The 19,882-nt window shown below is 35.8% G+C and overlaps 1 pseudogene; it reads right to left on the minus strand.

The window, feature by feature from the left end:
- Positions 2,389–2,894, minus strand: RPL27AP6 (ribosomal protein L27a pseudogene 6; annotated as a pseudogene).

Genomic DNA, 19,882 nt, shown 5'->3' on the forward strand with positions numbered 1-19,882 from the left:
GCGTGCGGATCACTTGAGGTCAGGAGTTCCAGACCAGCCTGGCCAACATGGTGAAATCCCATCTCTACCAAAAATACAAAAATCAGCCGGATGTGGTAGCACGCACCTGTAGTCCCAGCTACTCAGGAGGCTGAGGCACGAGAATCACTTGAACCCAGGAGGCAGAGGTTGCAGTGAGCCAAGATCGTGCCACTGCACTCCAGCCTGGGTGACAGAGCAAGACTCTCTCTCGAAAAAAAAAGAAAAAAATGAAAAAAAGAAAAACATAGAAACTATAAGTCTGTTTCCTATAGAGAAGCTATTCTTTAACTAAAATTCTACACATCATACAAATATTTACACATAAGAATTAACAGGGAACCCTTCCAAGGGTAACTTCTAGGAGCTTAAAGACTCAATGTTTCAAGGAGAGATTACTAGTCTTCTGTCTAACCTGCAGATACAGCAACTACTACATCCAAGATTAGGGCACGCACATCTAAAGAGATCCTCAGCATGTTGGGAGACATAAAGTATTAGTAAGATTCTTGGACTTGGAGCCAGAGAATGAGATTTGGGAGGGCAGAACTTGAAATGCTTTATGTTTTCTACAGAAAAAACCAGCAGCATTAACTTCATTTAGAAATTTGTTAGAAGTTTAGATTCTCAGGTGCCGTCCTAGATCTACTGAATCAACATCTTTGGGACTGAAGCTCAGAAATGTGTTTTAATAAACACTCAAGGTGATTACAATACATTATAAACTTTGGGAACCACTGTTTCAGAGAAGATAAGTTGTTTTTTTAAAATTTATTTATATTTTTATGAATGTAGTTTTATTAGAGACAAGGTCTCACTCTGTCACTCAGGCTGGAGTGCAGTGGTGTTATCATACTCACTGCAGCCTTGAACTCCTGGGCCCAAGTGATCTTCCCGCCTCAGCCTCCCAAGTAGCTGGGACTGCAGGTGGGCGCCAACATTGCTAGGCTAATTTTTTTTTATTTCTGTAGAGACAAGATCTTGCTATGTTGGCCAGGCTGGTCTTGAACTCCTGGCCTCAAGTGATTCTCCTGTCAAGGCCTCCCAGAGCGCTGGTGTTAAAGGCATAAGCCACTGCACCCAGCCAGAGAAGGTAAATAGTACTAGACATGAGTCCTATTCTACTACTTCTTAACCAGCTTACCTTGGACCAGTCAGTCAACCTGACTGTTTCTGCTACCGTACTGAGAACTATGAATAAGATTTTTATATTGACTGTCTCAGCACCCGTGCAAATGACTAAAGAAGTAGAAGTCAACATCACATCTAAGATCATAAAGAGCAAACATTAACTTATGGGAACAATTGAACAGATTCAGGAAAGCAGATGCTGAGTTGAAGGTGCCGCAGAGCAACCAATAGATACAGGGAGCAAGGAATTCAGAAAATTCTTGTTTTAAAGGACATGGGATTCCCCACCCTTGCTGAGACTAAAAGAAATATAGATTTGCACATATTCAATGTGACAAGAAGCAGCTGAAAAATGAGTCCTAGAGAACCCTTCTCATCCAACAACCTGGCTTTACTCCTTCTGATTACCCTCCATCCCCAAGGTATGAGGATCTTAAATGGAGAAATTGATCTGCTTTGTTTGTTCATCTATTTATGTAAAGAGGATAGAGGATGTTATACTAAAGATCTGCATAGCGCAGGGATGGCAATGGGCATCTAGATGGGGAGATAGAAGGAATCACATCTCAGAAAATCTGAGAGAAGCTAAAGCCAATCAGAAAAGATTCTGAACTTTAATCTGGCCCTGAGATTTCCGGTTAAGAGTCCAGAACAATAACAAAACAATATGCACCATTCTATGAACATCTACTATATTTTAGGCTTGTTACCTGCTTTTATAATAATCAATTAATCTATTTTCACTTTAAATTAATGGCCAGAAATCTCCAATAAGCAACTAACGTTGTCATGAAATTTGAGTAAATTTGTAGACCATTTCATGTCTTCTAATTTTTCCTCAAAATTTCCATACTCTCTCATTCTCCCATTCCCCATTAGCTGATGAGCTAGTCTCAAATGTCATTTTGGAAATACAGACTATCAGAATTGAAATTCTTCATCTTCCACTACAGGATCTATCCACTTAACTATATCAGAACTTACATATCCTGCCTTCACTCCTGTAGAAATGGATGAGGTGAAATATTCATGCTCCCAGGGAAGACCCGTTCTTGATATCCTATTGTCTCTTTCCTCCGCAAAGACTTCACACAGCAATTACCTCCTCTCTCTCCTTCACCTGCTTTCCCTGTCTGCTGGGTCATTATCACCACACCAATATGCTCTGGGATTTCTCATTTTGGTCTCACATTTCCAGTATTCCATTTTTCTTCTTCTTCTTCTTCTTTTTTTTTTTTTAAGTAGTTAGCATTTAATGAAACTCCCTCCATGCGGCTTCAAGCCACCAGGACACAGGCCCCCCCAACACTCTTAATCTTCTCCTCAGCTCTTCTGCTGAAGAATTTGGCCTGCACGGTGACAGCCTGCTTGGGGAGCTTTCCCTTTCCCAGAACTTTGTAGTAGCCAGATCGCACCACATCAATGATGGGAGCAGCCCCAGTCTTGTTTTTAGCAGCATTCACCCGTGTCTGTTCACTGACCAAAGTCCACAATTTGTCAAGGTTGACAGTTGGGCAGAAGCTCTGGTTCCTCTTTAAGTGGTAATGCTTCATACCAACTTTCCCAAAGTAGCCTGGGTGGTATTTGTCGAAGTTGATCCGGTGGTGATGCAGACCACCAGCATTACCGCGGCCGCCGGGGTGCTTCCGGTGCTTGCCTATGCGGCCGTGGCGGTGGCTCACGTGGCCCCTAAGTTTCCGGGTCTTCCTCAGTCTGGATGGCATGTTGGCAGCCCAGACGAAAAAAAAAACTATCTTCTTCTTCTTGAGCAATATTTCTAGAAAGACTTGAATAGGAGTTAAGACTTTTTTCAACTCCTATTCACACTTTAAAAATATAAATCAATATTCTTTTAGTAACACAACGAATAGAAGTCAATTTCAAGAAAATCAGAATGCAGAGGAACAAGAGAAAAACTATCAATAATTTCACCACTGCAACAAGTTCAAAATCTGCTATATGTTCTTCCTTTTTAAACTATTTAATTTATAATTTCATCAGGTAGTGTATATACATAAAAATTTTAAAAAATTAGAGATGAGGTCTTGCTCTGTCACCCACTCTGCAGTGCAGTGATGCGATCATAGCTCACTGCAGCCTCCAACTCCTGGGCTCAAGTTATCTTTCCACCTCAGCCTCCTGAGTAGCTGGGATGACAGGCATGTACCACCACCTGTGGCTTATTTATTTACTTATTTTGAGACAGAGTGTCTCTCTATCGCCCAGGCTGGAGTGCCGTGGCACAGTCTTGGCTCACTGGAACCTCCACCTCCCAGGTTCAAGAGATTTCTGGCTAATTTTTGTATTTTTAGTAGAGACGGGGTTTCACCATGTTGGCCAGGCTGGTCTCGAACTCCTGACCTCAAGTGATCCACCCGCCTTGGCCTCCCGAAGTGCTAGGATTACAGTTGTGAGCCACTGCACCCAGCCTGGCTCAATTTTTCAAATGTTTTTCAGAGACAAGGGTCTTGCTATGTTGCTTAGCCTGGACTTGAACTCCTGGGCTCAAGGAGTGCTCCAGCCTCAGCCTCCTCAGTAGCTAGGATTTAACACATGTTCATAGTTTTAAAGTGCAAAGACACTGATGAGAAAATACTTTCCACCCTGCTTTCCTCAGCCTCGTTTAAGAATGAATGAGTGAAGGGCTGCAAAATGGCAGCCATGAGATAGAACTTCTATTTATTTAGAGTCTTTATATTTTTACGCAGAATTCTTTTTTTTTTTTTTTTTTTTTTGAGATGGAATCTCGCTCTGTGGCCCAGGCTGGAGTGCAGTGGAGTGATCTCGGCTCACTGCAAGCTCCACCTCTGGGGTTCACATCATTCTCCTGCCTCAGCCTCCCCGGTAGCTGGGACTACAGGTGCCTGCCACCACGCCCTTCTAATTTTTTGTATTTTTAGTAGAGACGGGTTTCACCATGTTAGCCAGGATGGTCTCAATCTCCTGAACTCATGATCCACCTGCCTCAGCCTCCCAAAGTGCTGGGATTGCAGGCATGAGCCACCGCGCGCTGCCTTTCGCAGAATTCTTTTTTTTTTAATTTTTTTTTATTATGCTTTAAGTTTTAGGGTACATGTGCACAACGTGCAGGTTTGTTACATATGTATACATGTGGCATGTTGGTGTGCTGCACCCATTAACGCGTCATTTAACATTAGGTCTATCTCCTAATGCTCTCCCTCCCCCCTCCCCCCACCCCACAACAGGCCCCGGTGTGTGATGTTCCCTTTCCTGTGTCCATGTGTTCTCATTGTTCAATTCCCACCTATGAGTGAGAACATGTGGTGTTTGGTTTTTTGTCCTTGTGATAGTTTGCTGAGAATGATGGTTTCCAGCTTCATCCATGTCCCTACAAAGGACATGAACTCGTCATTTTTTATGGCTGCATAGTATTCCATGGTGTATATGTGCCACATCTTCTTAATCCAGTCTATCATTGTTAGACATTTGGGTTGGTTCCAAGTCTTTGCTATTGTGAATAGTGCCGCAATAAACATACGTGTGCATGTGTCTTTAAAGCAGCATGATTTATAATCCTTTGGGTATATACCCAGTAATGGGATGGCTGGGTCAAATGGTATTTCTAGTTCTAGATCCCTGAGGAATCGCCACACTGACTTCCACAATGGTTGAACTAGTTTACAGTCCCACCAACAGTGTAAAAGTGTTCCTATTTCTCCATATCTTCTCCAGTACCTGTTGTTTCCTGACTTTTTAATGATCGCCATTCTAACTGGTGTGAGATGGTATCTCATTGTGGTTTTGATTTGCATTTCTCTGATGGCCAGTGATGATGAGCATTTTTTCATGTGTCTTTTGGCTGCATAAATGTCTTCTTTTGAGAAGTGTCTGTTCATATCTTTCACCCACTTTTTGATGGGGTTGTTTGTTTTTTTCTTGTAAATTCATTTGAGTTCATTATAGATTCTGGATATTAGCCCTTTGTCAGATGAGTAGATTGCAAAAATTCTCTCCCATTCTGTTGGTTGCCTGTTCACTCTGATGGTAGTTTCTTTTGCTGTGCAGAAGCTCTTTAGTTTAATTAGATCCCATTTGTCAATTGTGGCTTTGTTGCCATTGTTTTTGGTGTTTTAGACATGAAGTCCTTGCCCATGCCTATGTCCTGAATGGTGTTGCCTAGGTTTTCTTCTAGGGTTTTTATGGTTTTAGGTCCAACATTTAAGTCTTTAATCCATCTTGAATTGATTTTTGTATAAGGTGTAAGGAAGAGATCCAGTTTCAGCTTTCTACATATGGCTAGCCAGTTTTCCCAGCACCATTTATTAAATAGGGAATCCTTTCCCCATTTCTTGTTTTTGTCAGGTTTGTCAAAGATGAGATAGTTGTAGATATGCGACATTATTTCTGAGGGCTCTGTTCTGTTCCATTTGTCTATGTATCTGTTTTGGTACCAGTATCATGCTGTTTTGGTTACTGTAGCCTTGTAGTATAGTTTGAAGTCAGGTAGTGTGATGCCTCCAGCTTTGTTCTTTTGGCTTAGGATTGACTTGGCAATGAGGGCTCTTTTTTGGTTCCATATGAACTTTAAGTAGTTTTTTCCAATTCTGTGAAGAAAGTCATTGGTAGCTTGATGGGGATGGCATTGAATCTATAAATTACCTTGGGCAGTACGGCCATTTTCAATATATTGATTCTTCCTACCCATGAGCATGGAATGTTATTCCATTTGTTTGTATCCTCTTTTATTTCCTTGAGCAGTGGTTTGTAGTTCTCCTTGAAGAGGTCCTTCACATCCCTTGTAAGTTGGATTCCTAGGTATTTTACGCAGAATTCTTAATGACAAAATTTCTTTCAAGACACAAATAAATAAATCTTTCAAAGTGGAATTGTCGAATTCCCAGGATTTGTGGAAAACACAGTTGTCCTGGTATGATAAGAATATGTGTATAAATAGATGACTGCTCTGTTTAATTTTGTGTGAACTCGGGATTAGGTAGTATATAGATGTGAACAATTTAATAGTTAAAACCAAGGCATATTCCATTTAGAACATTTAGTTTCTTCACTTGTTTATGCATGCTCTCTACCTAAATATATGGTTTACTTTTCAAAACATAGTGACTATTTATGAATTGATTTAGTAAAAATAACATTAGGAATGTGAATCTCCTCTAGCAGAAAATATATTGTAAGGTGCAATTTTCTAGTAAGCCTTCCGTCATATAACCCTTTAATAAGAAAACACTAAAGCAATTGTACTTCAAGACGGTATAATGGATAGCAATAAAAGTCTGCTTGTAAGTCATGCCTTCTTTTATCACTTGTGCCATTTTCCTGCTTTTGGAATAAAAGCGTTTCCTTCGTAAGTAGAATATTAATTGGAAAACCCAATAACTCACATCTATATTGGAAAGAACAGCAATAGATAATATAAATAAGAAATCAAATATGTGTTTCAGATGTTAGATTTTTAACGTCAATTTTAATACATTTTAGCATTCCGTGAGAGTAAATCTGTGGTCCTTAATGGTCTAGTTTGCATGCACTACAGTCTCCAGAGATATTTCAGACCAGAAAACACAAAGCATATTCAAAAATAAGAAATGTGCTTTTACCTCTTCTGTCATAAGACTTTTCCTACACAATTATAACATGTATTAAAATAGACATTTTAAAGGAAATAATTTAAATGAGTGTATGTTTTCAAAATAAATATTTAAAAAGTTAAATATTATATTTATTCAAAAATCCAATATCACATCTTTAAGCAGTGTTAATAATGATTATTGTTATACCTAGATGTCACATCAACTATTCAACTTTACATCTTTGCTTTTTAAAATGCAGAATGTCATCTTCGTATCATACATAATATTGGAAAGTTCCAATTCTGCATGGTGATGTTTCAACAGAAATGTCTGCAATTATTAAAAGATCTGAATTACAGGTAACACAACATTGATATGTTATTTGTTAACCCTTTATGCCCCACCTCCTGTTTTTGGTTTGGGGGTCTATCATCACATGGCAGTGTTTACCCGTATTCCTGCATTAATAAATTACCATTCACAAGTGTTGCTATTAATGTTTGTGTCCTCACTTAAATTCATATGTTGAAATCCTGGGATTAGCACCATTATAAAAGGGACCCCATAGAGCTAGCTCTTCCCTTCCACCATGTAAGGACACAGCAACAAGATACCATGTGTGTGTTAGTGGCCCTTACCAGACACTGAATCTGCCAGTGCCTTCTTCTTGGACTTCCCAGTCTCCAGAATTGTAATATATAAATTTCTGTTGTTTAAAGGATACCCAGTTTATGGTATTTTGTTATAGCATCCTAAATGGACTAGTAGAAATATATGAGCCAGAATAGTAAATACTACATAGTTGTTATTGTAACACCTTCTATAAGAATTTTCTACTCTATTTGAAAATTACTTTAAGTCCTTGGTTATGAAGGAAAATGCTTCGCTAATGAAGATGAATATTTCCAATGTGTTAAGCGCAGTTACTTTTGTTCCCTAAGTGTTTTTCTTCACATATAATTAGGCTGGATGATTTAATGAAATCCAGATCAGCGTCCATGGATAATGAGGTGAATCCCATCAAGATCCTTTCTTAGTGGCTTTATTTCTAGGAACATTTTTTTAAATAGGCCGTATCTATACAAGAAAAGTGAAGAACAGTATAGAATTAATTTTATTTTTGGATCAAGGGTGTACAAGGAGAATAAAATTAGGTAATGAGCTAATGGGAAATATGCACATTTGGGGACTTGTGGCCTCAGACTGGTTGGAAACTGAATGAATCCATGAAACAATTGCCCAAGTCCCTTTCTTTTTCAAAATGTTTACTTTTAATATTTTGGCCTGTTTGGGTTTTATTAGGTTTCTTAGATTTGATAAGAAAATGGGTGGTTTATAAATTTGAAATTCTAGTTGACTTGTGTAATTCCTTACAATTATATCTTGCAATTCTTTTTTATTATATAAAGTCAAAATTTTTAAGATCCTGTGACATTTTGTTACATTTTAGCCCAAGATTATTTACATTTGTACCTATTCTTCTATGCTTTTACATAAACTCCATGTTGTTACAAAATAATTTAAAACAGCTCATATACTTAAAATAAAGCAAGATAACATATGTTCTGATAACATGCCTCAAGAATATATGAGAAATATGACAGAAAAAAATTCAAGGGCATGATATAAAATCAGCCAGAAATTATTTTACTTTACAAAATGCATGTACTGATAGACTGTACAGTTACTATCTATGAGTTTCTAGTTCATAATAAGAATATAACAAACATAATGGTGATGATATGAGCCACTAAGAATTTTGGCTTAATCTGTGATAGACATTGAGTTAAGCTGTTTACATAGTTCACTTAATAATTACCTCAACCCTGAAATGATGCTCATTTTCTATATAATGAAATGACCTCTAGCTCCAAAATCTTATTGAAAATTGTAGAGACGGTATTGTAGAAACTAGAAACTCAAACTGGCTAATATAAATATAAAGCTGATTCTATCAACTGTAGGCATCACTGCCTCTTAATTAGTTTTTGTCAGCTTTCTCTTCATTATACACTGTAGCCAAAAATCATTTGAATACTAAGCAGTTTTATGTTGTCTGAATGACATTGACCCATCTAACTTACACTTGCAACTCATCACCCAGGAGACAGTAGTTCCTCATACAATAGGATGAGGATACCAGATACGGGTCATTGCAGGGAACTTTAGCTTTGCAGAAATTTTTGTAATAGATTATTTTACTAACCTTCTAACTGGTTTCAATGAAAATCACATGAGTGTTTGGTAGTCCAGCAGTAAACTGGATTTTTTTTTTAAGTCCTTGGAGTTTTCTACATAGACCATCAAGTCATCTCCAAATAGTAACAGAGTTTATTTATTCACTTCTGATAAGTATCACTTTTATTCGCTTTCCCCCCTATTTATTGGGCTGTTTAGGCCTTCCAGAATCCTGACTATGGAAGAAACAACACTGTATATTGATCACTGCATAAGAGCATGTCCTGTGTAAGCCATGTGAGCATACACACAAGGCGTTATCATAGTTTGTGCCATAATTCACTCTTCAAAATGCCATTCCATTATTCTAAAATGTTAGTCACTTTATAAAGATGGTTAACATGATGATAGCCATGAATTCCACAAGACATGAGCCCACTTCCACTCTTTATGAGGTGTAAAATGAGTTTGCCTTCCTTCAGTGAACTCTAGTTCTATGAAGTGGCATAATTTTTGAAAATGATTGATATGCCACAACCTCTATTATGCTGATTCAAGTTAGCCTTACATTTACTGCATTTGAAACCTTTCCACTTACGCAAGTCAAGTAAGACTTTAGTGGACTGCCCATCAATTTCAGTCCTACAGACATATGATTAATTATAGAACATCAAAGTTCTCTGTGGGTCAAGCCATTCCTATAACTGCTTTGAGTCTGCCAACCATTCTGATTCCTAGTCTTAGCAGTTAAGTGCTGCCACCTGGCCCCTGGCACTCCTGGATCTCATCATCCTCATTGAATTCAGAGAGCCCACTTAGACAGTGAAAGCTTCCACTGTTGTTCCTGGACTGCAGGGAAGAACCAACATGGAGCTCTTCAGTTGCTGGGACACCTTTCACCAATGTGTTTCTCAAAGACTTGAAGGAAATGTCTTTGGGACTCTTCTAGTTAGGGTGTGAGTAAGCAGATCTTACATAAAAAATCTACCCTAGCATTTCAGTCTCCCCAAGTCTTCGATTATTGTCCTTTAGATTATACCAAGGAAATTCTGGAATCTCAAGTGCATTCTCTGTGGGCCACTTTTGGGTTTATGTCTCAATACACCAGTTAAACAAATGGTAGAGGTAGAGCCATTCCCAGGCACTCAGGCAAACACATTGAATACAGAATCTCTTCTTAGTATACCCATATTAATATATTTGACCTGATCCAACATATTTCTTCCACTCAGATTCTACTTGTTAGGCTATGTTCCCATATATTTTCCCCAGGTTTGTGTTATAAATTGGCAAAATTATGCAATTCTTTTGGTGTGTAGGGTAACCTCTCATGGATTGTATTTTGTCAGATGTCCTAAGCCTGTGGGGACTGATTCTGGTTACAAGTCTGGTTACAAGTCTACACTTCTCATTAGAGGTGGTGGGAATGGGACCTCAGGAGGATTAACAATGCCTGGCAAAGCGCCTATATCATAAGAGGCAAGCATGGGTTTGCAGGCAAGGGCAGGCTAACCTCCTCAGAGAGGGGAATAACGGCTGCTCCCACAGGCCAGTGAGGCTCAGTAGAATTTAGGGGTTCAAAGTCTTCAACTTCATCACAATCTGCTCAGAAGTCTTCATCCCAATTTTCAGGACACACACCTTTTCAATTTATGGCCTAACTTTAACATAAAAAAGGCTTGTGAATATGGGAATTTAGTTTGCACAGTAATTCAGGTATCTGTAGATAAGATTTAGGGTTTAATCTTCAGAAATCTTGATTCTGAAGCTCTTGGAAATAGGATTTATTTTAGGGTGTTCATAAAAGTTTTCTGGTCCCCTACTTAAAACTTGAGCTTAGAATTTAAATGTCTGTGCTTACGATTTTTCTTCGCCATGTCCTCCATGCATTAGAATCAAGCAATCAACTTCATATATGAGTTATTCTCCTTAGTTTCCACTAAAATACTGGCTGGTAGCAAATACTTGTTCACACAAGGCCTTGCCTTTGGTAAGCATTTGATTGCAGGTGATAATCAAAGTTACTCTTTTTGCCACTGTATACTGTGGACTGTAAGTATATGGTTAACACAGAAAAACAGAACCATTAACGTTTTAAATGTAACTAGATCAGAGAACTAATTATACATTCTCATCCTTAAGGTTCTGTTCCCCTGGACTGAATTCTGATACCAATATTGGTATCAGTCAGTGTGTGTCAGAGAAGTAGAATCTCTACGAGTATTGCAGAACAAGAGATTCTTTATGAGCATGACACCTTACACAGCTGTGGAAGAAGCTGGAAGAGTTGTTTTTATTTTTGTTTCTTTGTTTGTTTGTTTTTCTTAAGCCTTTTCAGGGAAATTAGAGATTCAGAGAAAAGTCACTAACCAGCTCTTCTGTAGTCAGAGTTGGAACATGAAGCATGATGGAGATCTGGAACAGAGCCTTGGCCACTGTGAATTATCACGCCCTGCTCAGCAGGCCCTGGGAGAAGAGCTGGGCATACAATGAGGAAAACGGGGACAACTTAGAATCTCCTTTTCATCTTTTTCCCTGATCTCGGATGAGTTCCACAGAGTTGTCAATCTTGCCTTCCACATCTCAAATAATTTTTCAATTTTGGCCATCTCCAACACAGACCATACATGAACAGGGTTTCTGGGAAACATAGTTTCAGCTTGTCCAAATGACAGACAAGCAAAACATCTTAGGTGGTAACATATTCTCTTTATAGACATCTAATCTACGAGCCGAAACCAAATAAAAAGCTAGCCAGAATGTGAATGCCTCTGAATAGATACTTTACCACTTCAGCACAAAAGATTGGCATCGATCAAATATAAATTCTTCTCACATGGGTCTTTTGACATATTTAAGAGCTCTCAGTCAATCAGAAATAAACAATTTGGGCTAATGTAAATTTTAGATCATTTACATTAACCTAGTAGTACTGGCTATTAAATATAAAAATCTACTTACGTATCTAACTGAACATTTTATCTTCCAGTTAAAATCATAGGAAGTTAAACCTCTAGTTGGATGGTTAAATTTTGAGATTTACCTGGATGTTTGCATTATAATAATAAGCAAATGCAGCAAAGACTATGAAAGTTCATATACAAGGAAATACTGTTAAGAGGGTTAATTAGTTGTTTGCCAAAGCCTAATAATTTCTTCTGTAACTTTTATAGAACTTTATAATGGAAAAACACAATATGTTACATTAAATCCTACTGTAAAATAGAATAGTAAAATAGAAAATAATAGCTTAAAGTTAAAGCACTGAAAACAACATATAAGCAATTCATAGAGGTCTAAGTAATTAAGTTTAATTGCAACTCTGACTAAAGGCATTGCCATTTTTCTATTGCTCGTATATGTGAGCTTCTTGAAATGTTATGATCTATCCATTTTGGTAGAAGGAAAGGTGCATTTTGTAGAAAATATTTTCCAATTCTAATGTGGGCAGAAAATCATATAAATATTTATTTAAAAGGAAATGAGTAACTCCAGACCTGTAGGTTCATTTTATTTTGCACTGATATTTATTTCATTTTTTCTTGCTGAGCTTAATTAGAAAAATCTTGTGTAGAGAAGTTGAATGCAATTTAATCAGCAGGAAAATGCATTTATTATGGAAAAAGTATTTAAAAACAAAGAAAAGGGACTGCTGGAAGGATTTATTTTGGTAATACCACCTAGAGGGGTAAGGTTAAAGATTCAATTTACACTCAACAGGAATGAAGCAGTGAATAGAGGAGGCAGAGTGACTTAGCAAGACATTTTGTGGTACAAACAGTTCATGCAAAATAGTCACATTGACTTGGAACTGGGATTGGAAAATACCAGCAGAAAATAGAACAATGGAAAGAAATCAACTGAGTCCATTTTTGCAGACAGGAAAAGATAAACAAATATTTTCAAGACAGTATTCTTATATGTAAGTAAGATGCCATGGGAACACAGAGGAGTTAGCTTCTTTGCCTATGGTAGAATGTGGAGTCTATCAAATAAATAACATTCATTGGAACTTGGAGAATTAGTTGGCCTTCCCCTGATGTTAATTAAAGAGCAAATGGTGATATTGTAGCTAAGAAGACCAACAGGTTCCACATCATGGGGGTCATTAGAGTTTCAGAAATTTGCTGGGGAGGGCAACGTAAAATTGAGAAACACTGTCTGTTGTGCAAGAAGTGGCGAACATCTGGGAGTTGTGCTGATGGTATTAGGAGGGGAGAGGGAATGAGAAGCGCTGACTCCATCATGAATGCTTAGGGCTAAGTTGTAAATGACTTTTGTAGATTAAATTAAGAGGACTGGGTGATGGAGATTTAATACATATATCCAAATTAGTAAAGTAATAAAAAGGTATAATATTTTAGGAAACTGTATCAATAAAGCAGAGACTAGACTAGTGTTGGAAGAGAAAAAATTGCTGCAGAAGGTATAGCTGTATCTGAAGTTTATGGAAGAAGAACGAAAAATTGTGAGGAAATATTAGAGAGGGAGATAAGCATTTAGAGATATTAATAATAAAACACAAAGGACCAAAGAAATATTATGGCTTCTGAAGTTATAGGAAAAAATAGGGATTAAATCAAGGGATATGCAGAGTCATCGTAAGTGGGAAGAAGAAGCAGCACAATTACATAAGACAAATCAATCAGAATCTGAAGCAAAGCCATATGTAAACAGTTGACAGAACTATAATCCTTAGGATACTGGCTCTGAAAAGAAATAACTAAATAAGCAAGAATCAAACCACTAACCACTGGAGACATTTTGGAAATATAAAAATGTCTTAAGTATTAAAGAGCAATCATTGCCTCTGAAGGAACTGGGGAAAAGAGCATAGAGATTTTGTTATAATATGTATAAATAGAAGTATATCTCAAATGAAATGTGAAAAGCAATTAGTGGAAGATATGATGCCTCTTTCACTTTTATTTAAAATAAAAGGGTAGGATCGAAGTGAATTCAACCATATCTGGAAAAAAGCTTCACTCCTCTGAACCTAGGCTTTAAATCTGACAAACTTGATGATCCTTATATGTTTTTTCATCAGAGGACCAAATTACATATCAAACTTTTTCCAGTATTTTCAGTTAGTATCATATAGTTTATTCTTACCCAAGTCATAAAATATTCTTCAAAGTACATTTTTATCATGTGAATATTTGATTTCACATATGTGTTATGGTTTATTTAGCCTCTTCTCATTGTTAAGCCTTTGTACTGTCTCCAATCTTTGGTATTATAAAAAACATTTGATGAACGTCCAACTGATCCCAGCAATCTAATACAGTTTTCTCATGGTAATTCTGAAAGCGGATTACTAAATCAAGGGATTCAATATATTTTAGTCTCTTGGAAACATAATGCTGAATCGCACTCCAGAAAGAATGTATCAGATGCCCACATATCATTATACACATGCCATCATTTAATATTAACATTTAAAAATTTACCAATGTAAGAAGCAAAAATTGTAATTATTTTGATTTGTTTGCTACTAATGCTCATTTTTTAATACGCTTATTTATCATTTGTGTTGATTTTGTCCATTTTGTCCTACTTTCTGTGAAAATTCAACTTCTAAAGTCGTTTTTATTATAGCACCAGAGATGACCACATCATTTTATGTACTTCAGTTGCGTAATGGTTTTGAAATATATTGAGGAGTGTCCCACGGGGAGGAGAATACATTTGGGTTTAAAATGTTTCATTCTTGAAAGAATTGCTTAAATTTAAATAGCAAATGAAATAAATTAAGAAATAATGACATATTTGGAATAAAAACATTGTTTATTATTAAACTAAATACATGTGGCACACAGTATATGTGAATTGTTGAATAGTTGTTATTGGTATATATTTTAATATATACTGTTAATCTTCTTATAAGATGCCTTGCAAATACAAAATACATTTTAGTGACAAGTAAAATTTAAAAAATACAATGTATTTCAATACTATTTTAAAAATCCCAAGTTCTATTAGCAATAAAAAAAGATTGAACTGAAGGAAATAGAGTACATGCATCATAAGTTCCCAACGTAACACAGATGTAATAGATAAATATAATTCCATTCTTGATATTGATAACTAAAGTATAAAATATTCATAAAAATTGATAAAAGTGCTGGAAGATTGTCTTCCAAATAAAAATACAGATAAGATAAATCATAAAAAATATATAGCAAAAACATATATGTCAAATGTACAGCATTAAAAGCTTAAAAGCAAATAGCATGAAACAAGATAGCAAATTTAACTTAAAATAAGCATACATGCTTTAAGTTTTCCAATGACTAGAGCAATGTTCATTGTTTAGATTATTTTAACTTTTATTTTAGGTTCAGGGGTACATGTGTAGGTTTGTTATATAGGTGAACTCGTGTCACAGGGGTTTGGTGTACAGATTATTTTGTCACCTGGGTACTAAGCTTAGTGCCCGATAGTTATTTTTTCGATCCTCTCATTAAAAATTAAATATAATGCTTCTCAAACATGTTAGGTACATTTCTGAAAGACACTGAAACGAGCAGGGCTTGTGAAAAATAGGGTTGGAACTAGACCTCTGGAAATATATGCAGCCTTGTAAACAGGCAGTATCAAACAAAAACAATAACAAGCCTAAACAATACCCTATAACAGATGAAATGACATCTTAAGACCATGAGGAAGAGAAATACACAGTAATTTTTAATTCTTCTGTGTCATAGTAAATTTAAAAGTGTATCATAGAGAGAGAGAGAGAATCAGACATTACACATACACTATTCAAGATTATTATAGACTCTAGATATACCGAATAACATATAGAAAATACAGGAGACCGAGAACATGTTAACTTCTTGAGGGTACAATCAGCAAAGTCCAAATTTGGGAACATGCATAGAACAAATGACCTGGTTTCTTTGACTAATAATTTCTAAGGACTAAGTAAAAAGAAAACGGAAGGATTAAGTAAAAAGAAAAGAGAAACTTTAGACTAAAATACCTTGGATAATATCAAGAAAAAAAATTAGCCAAATGTCCTGTATGATCCTTGTGTGGATCTTGATTAATTATGCTAATTAAAATAATTGTGAAATAATTGGGGAAATTTGGTCATTTATTGGGTATTTGATGATCAAATTGTCATTTTTTTATGTTGAATAATATTAAATTTGTTTAAAATATGCATTTTTCTTTCAGAGATTAAAATTAAATTAATCATGGATGTAATTACATGATGCTTGGGGTTGGTTTTATGATAATTGATGGTCAAGGGAAATTGGTGAGGACATAAATGAAGCAAAATTGGCCATGCTTTGATAACCACTGAAGGGAGGTGATGGGCACGTGGGATTTCATTAAAGTGCACTACGTACTTTCATATGTATTTGAAACTTTTCATAAGAAAATATTTAAGGGAAAATAAAGACAAAAAGAAAAGAAGAAGCATGGTAGAAGTGATGGAAGGAGGGTTCAAGCTACTGAGTTTTGGGACAAGGGAATACTTTGGAAAGTCTGTAGAGAATAGCTCAAAGCACACTTTACTTCCAAAACAGAGCAAATGTCCCCATTGAGCCAGGGTAAAAAGACATTGTGTACAAAATTCATATACAGCTGGTTGCATTCAGTAATGTTGGTATACTGAACTTGGTTGCCACTATTTGCTATTTTTGAATGAATAAATTCATGTTACAGAAATATTCATTTTAGCAGAACAGGTAGTAAATAAGAAGAAAGCAATGATAATAACTATTAAGTCCATGTATGATTAAAATGAATTAAAGAGTTTATGTATTCTACCTTGGTAAAACATACAATCTTAACTCGGTATAGAAACATAAACATTTATAGCTGTCTCTTACCATACCAATATACAAATGCATATTATTTTCAACCATATTTATATTTATTACTCAAGTACACTAAATATTTTCTGATATTAATACTGCCACTGCTTTTTAATTCAACATCTCCATTTTGAGTGATAATTTTGATTGAAAATTTTCCATGATGTGAACAATGCCTTCCTATTTTTCCCAAATAAAGCTGATGGATGATACAATGTCTGAGATTTTGTATGTAAGAGAGGTCTTTCTGTTATTTTCTTATAAGAATTATAACTTGACTGTCTCTACATTCTTGGATGATTGTATTTCTCTCTCAGTTTTGCAATATTCCCTTATCGTTTTCTGAAGTGGAATGTTTAAGAAACTTTGGGGGTTTTGTTGTTTTTGTTTGTTTGTTTGTATCAGTGACAGTAACTTTCCTAATCTTTTTAGAATTCAAAAAGCTCAGCAGTATATACTGAACATATGTCCTTTATCAGCTTACTTGTTGCAAGAAAAAACAATAAAATTTTATTACCAATTTCATGATTATTGATTTTACTCAATTTTCTTATTAATTGCAAGTTGAACTTTCATGATTAGTAATAAATATGTTCTTTGCCTCTGCCTTTGGGAATGTTTCTCAATTTTTGTTTTCTACAGCATTTATTTGAATTTTTTAAAGCACCAGTTGTGTTATTTATTTTCTGCAAGAGGAGTCAACAAATAATTGGATACTAGTTTAGTTTCAATTCACAATAGACATTTGATTAAAACAGTGTGGCATTGGCACAGAGATTGACTATTTCTATATTAGGAAAGCCTTAGCAGGATGTGATACTGATATTGTGAATAAAATTTCATTGACTATAACAAGGTAGAGGGAAATGGAATCCCAGAGAAGAACCAGTAGACATAGGTATAGAAGCATAATGTGCATAAGGAACCACAAGTAGTTTACAATTGCTAGTGTGTACAGTCTAAATAAGATGAGAGGTGGGTAACAGCAATGTTTTAATTTGCTAGGGCTGCCATAACAAGCTACCACAGCCTGGGTGGCTTAAACACAGACAATTATTTCTCAAAGTTCTGGGACCTACAATTCCAAATCAATGTGCCTGCAGGTTTGGTTTTTCCTGAAGCCTCTCTCTTTGGCTTGTGGATGGCTGCCTTCTTGCTGTGCCCTCACCCAGCCTTTTCTCTGTACACATCCCTGGTGTCTCTTCCTCTTCTTATAAGGACACCCATCTTATTGGATTGGGGCCTCACTCTCATGCACTTATTTTAAATTTATCAGCTCTTTGAAGACCATATCTCCAAATACAGTTGTATTCAGACTGATTGAGGTTTGGGACTTCAACATATGAATTTTTGGAGGAGACACAATTAAGCCCATAACAAGAAATATTTTAAAGTATTTTAGATTAAATGACATGGAGTTCGATCTTTATTTATTTTTAATTATTTTGTGGAGGGAAAACACTGTAAGATTTCATGTATCAGAGTGATACAGTGTCTAGAAGTTTGTAATATATTTGGGAAATAATATTGTAGGACTCTCATATTTATTATTAACAAAACAGTACTGTAGAGGAAACGATGTAATTTAATATTTACATATACATGTCCAAATGTCTTATCAGAGAACATTCTTACCACAACTGTGATAGGAAAAGTAATAAAATAGCCAAGATAGGGTTGTCACTAGCTTCATGTCCCATTTCTTAATTATTATTATTATTTAATATAAATGAATAAAGTATTTCAGCTTATTCCAAAACAATTTTTAACTAGTTCTTCAGATGGAAGTAGGTATTACATGTGTGTGTGTTTGTATGTGTGTGTGTGCAGGTGCATGTGCATCGTGGGTTATTTGCTATGGTTTGAATGTGTCCCCCAAATTGCATGGGGTTGGGGACTCATGAAGGGACTGGTGACTTTATAAGAAAATGAAGAGAGATTTGAGCTGACACATATGCTCTTACCCTCTCAACACGTAATGCCTTCTGTCATTTTATGACATAGCAAGAAGGCCCTCACCAGATGCCAATACCATGCTCTTAGACTTCCCAGCCTCCAGAACTATAAGAAATAAATTTCATTTTAAAAAAATTTACCCAGTCTCTGGTATTCTGTTTTAGCAACAGAAAATGGACTAAGACCGTGTTCTATAAAATTATAATGAGGTTATTCTGTAATTGGCCATATAAAACAGACATATATTTAACTGATTCTTAATGACCTCAGATTATTTTGTAGATTGAAATTTACAGTTCTAGTTTTATTCCAGAATAAAAATGTAGTGTTACCATCATCACTGTGTGATCATTTCCATATTGCACTTTATAGTCTCTCTTGAGTGTTGCTTGGACATAGGACAACTTACTTTTTAAACTATTCTCTACATCTTTAAGTGTCTTCTTTCATTGCTTCATTCAGCAACATTTAATCAAGCACCAAAAAGTGCTAGAAACCTTCTATCCACTAAAGATATGGCAGTGAGCAAAACAGACAAGGACTCTGATTTCACGGAGCTTATATCTAAATAAATAAATAAAATGAATATTATCAGGTTGTGGTTTAAGTGATGAGTTTTTCTGTGTTTGGTCTGCTGGTAGCCTTATCGAGTAAATTTTCCATAACAGATATTTTACCTTTTTAAAATTCTATAATATCTATTCTGTTCTTTCTTTAGAGTTTACATTTCTATTCTATAGTTTCCATCATGTTCACCCATATAGTCTGTATTTTCCTCTAATATTGGTCTTTAAAATTTATAGTTATTTAAAAGTCCTTGTTTGATAATTCCAATATCTGATATACTTCTATTAACAGATTTTTCTTTTAATCTTGTCATATTTTAAAACTTTTTCACAAGTCATAATTTTTAAAAATTATATCCTGAACACAGTGAATGACACTATGCAGAGACTCTGTATTATGTTATTTTCCTGAATAGAGTGTTGAGTTTTATTTAAGCAGACAGTCAAATTCCTAGCAAATTACTATGACCCTATTGAAGCTAGTTTTCTTTTTAAATTTTTATTATACTTTAAGTTCTGGGATACAAGTGCAGAACATGCAGGTTTGTTACATAGATATACATGTGCCATGGTGGTTTGCTGCACCATCAACCCATCGTCTACATTAGGTACTTCTCCTAATGCTATCCCTCTCCTTTCCCCCCACCCCACGACA

This window comes from Homo sapiens, chromosome 6, assembly GCF_000001405.40.
Source record: "Homo sapiens chromosome 6, GRCh38.p14 Primary Assembly".
NCBI classification, from domain to species: domain Eukaryota; kingdom Metazoa; phylum Chordata; class Mammalia; order Primates; family Hominidae; genus Homo; species Homo sapiens.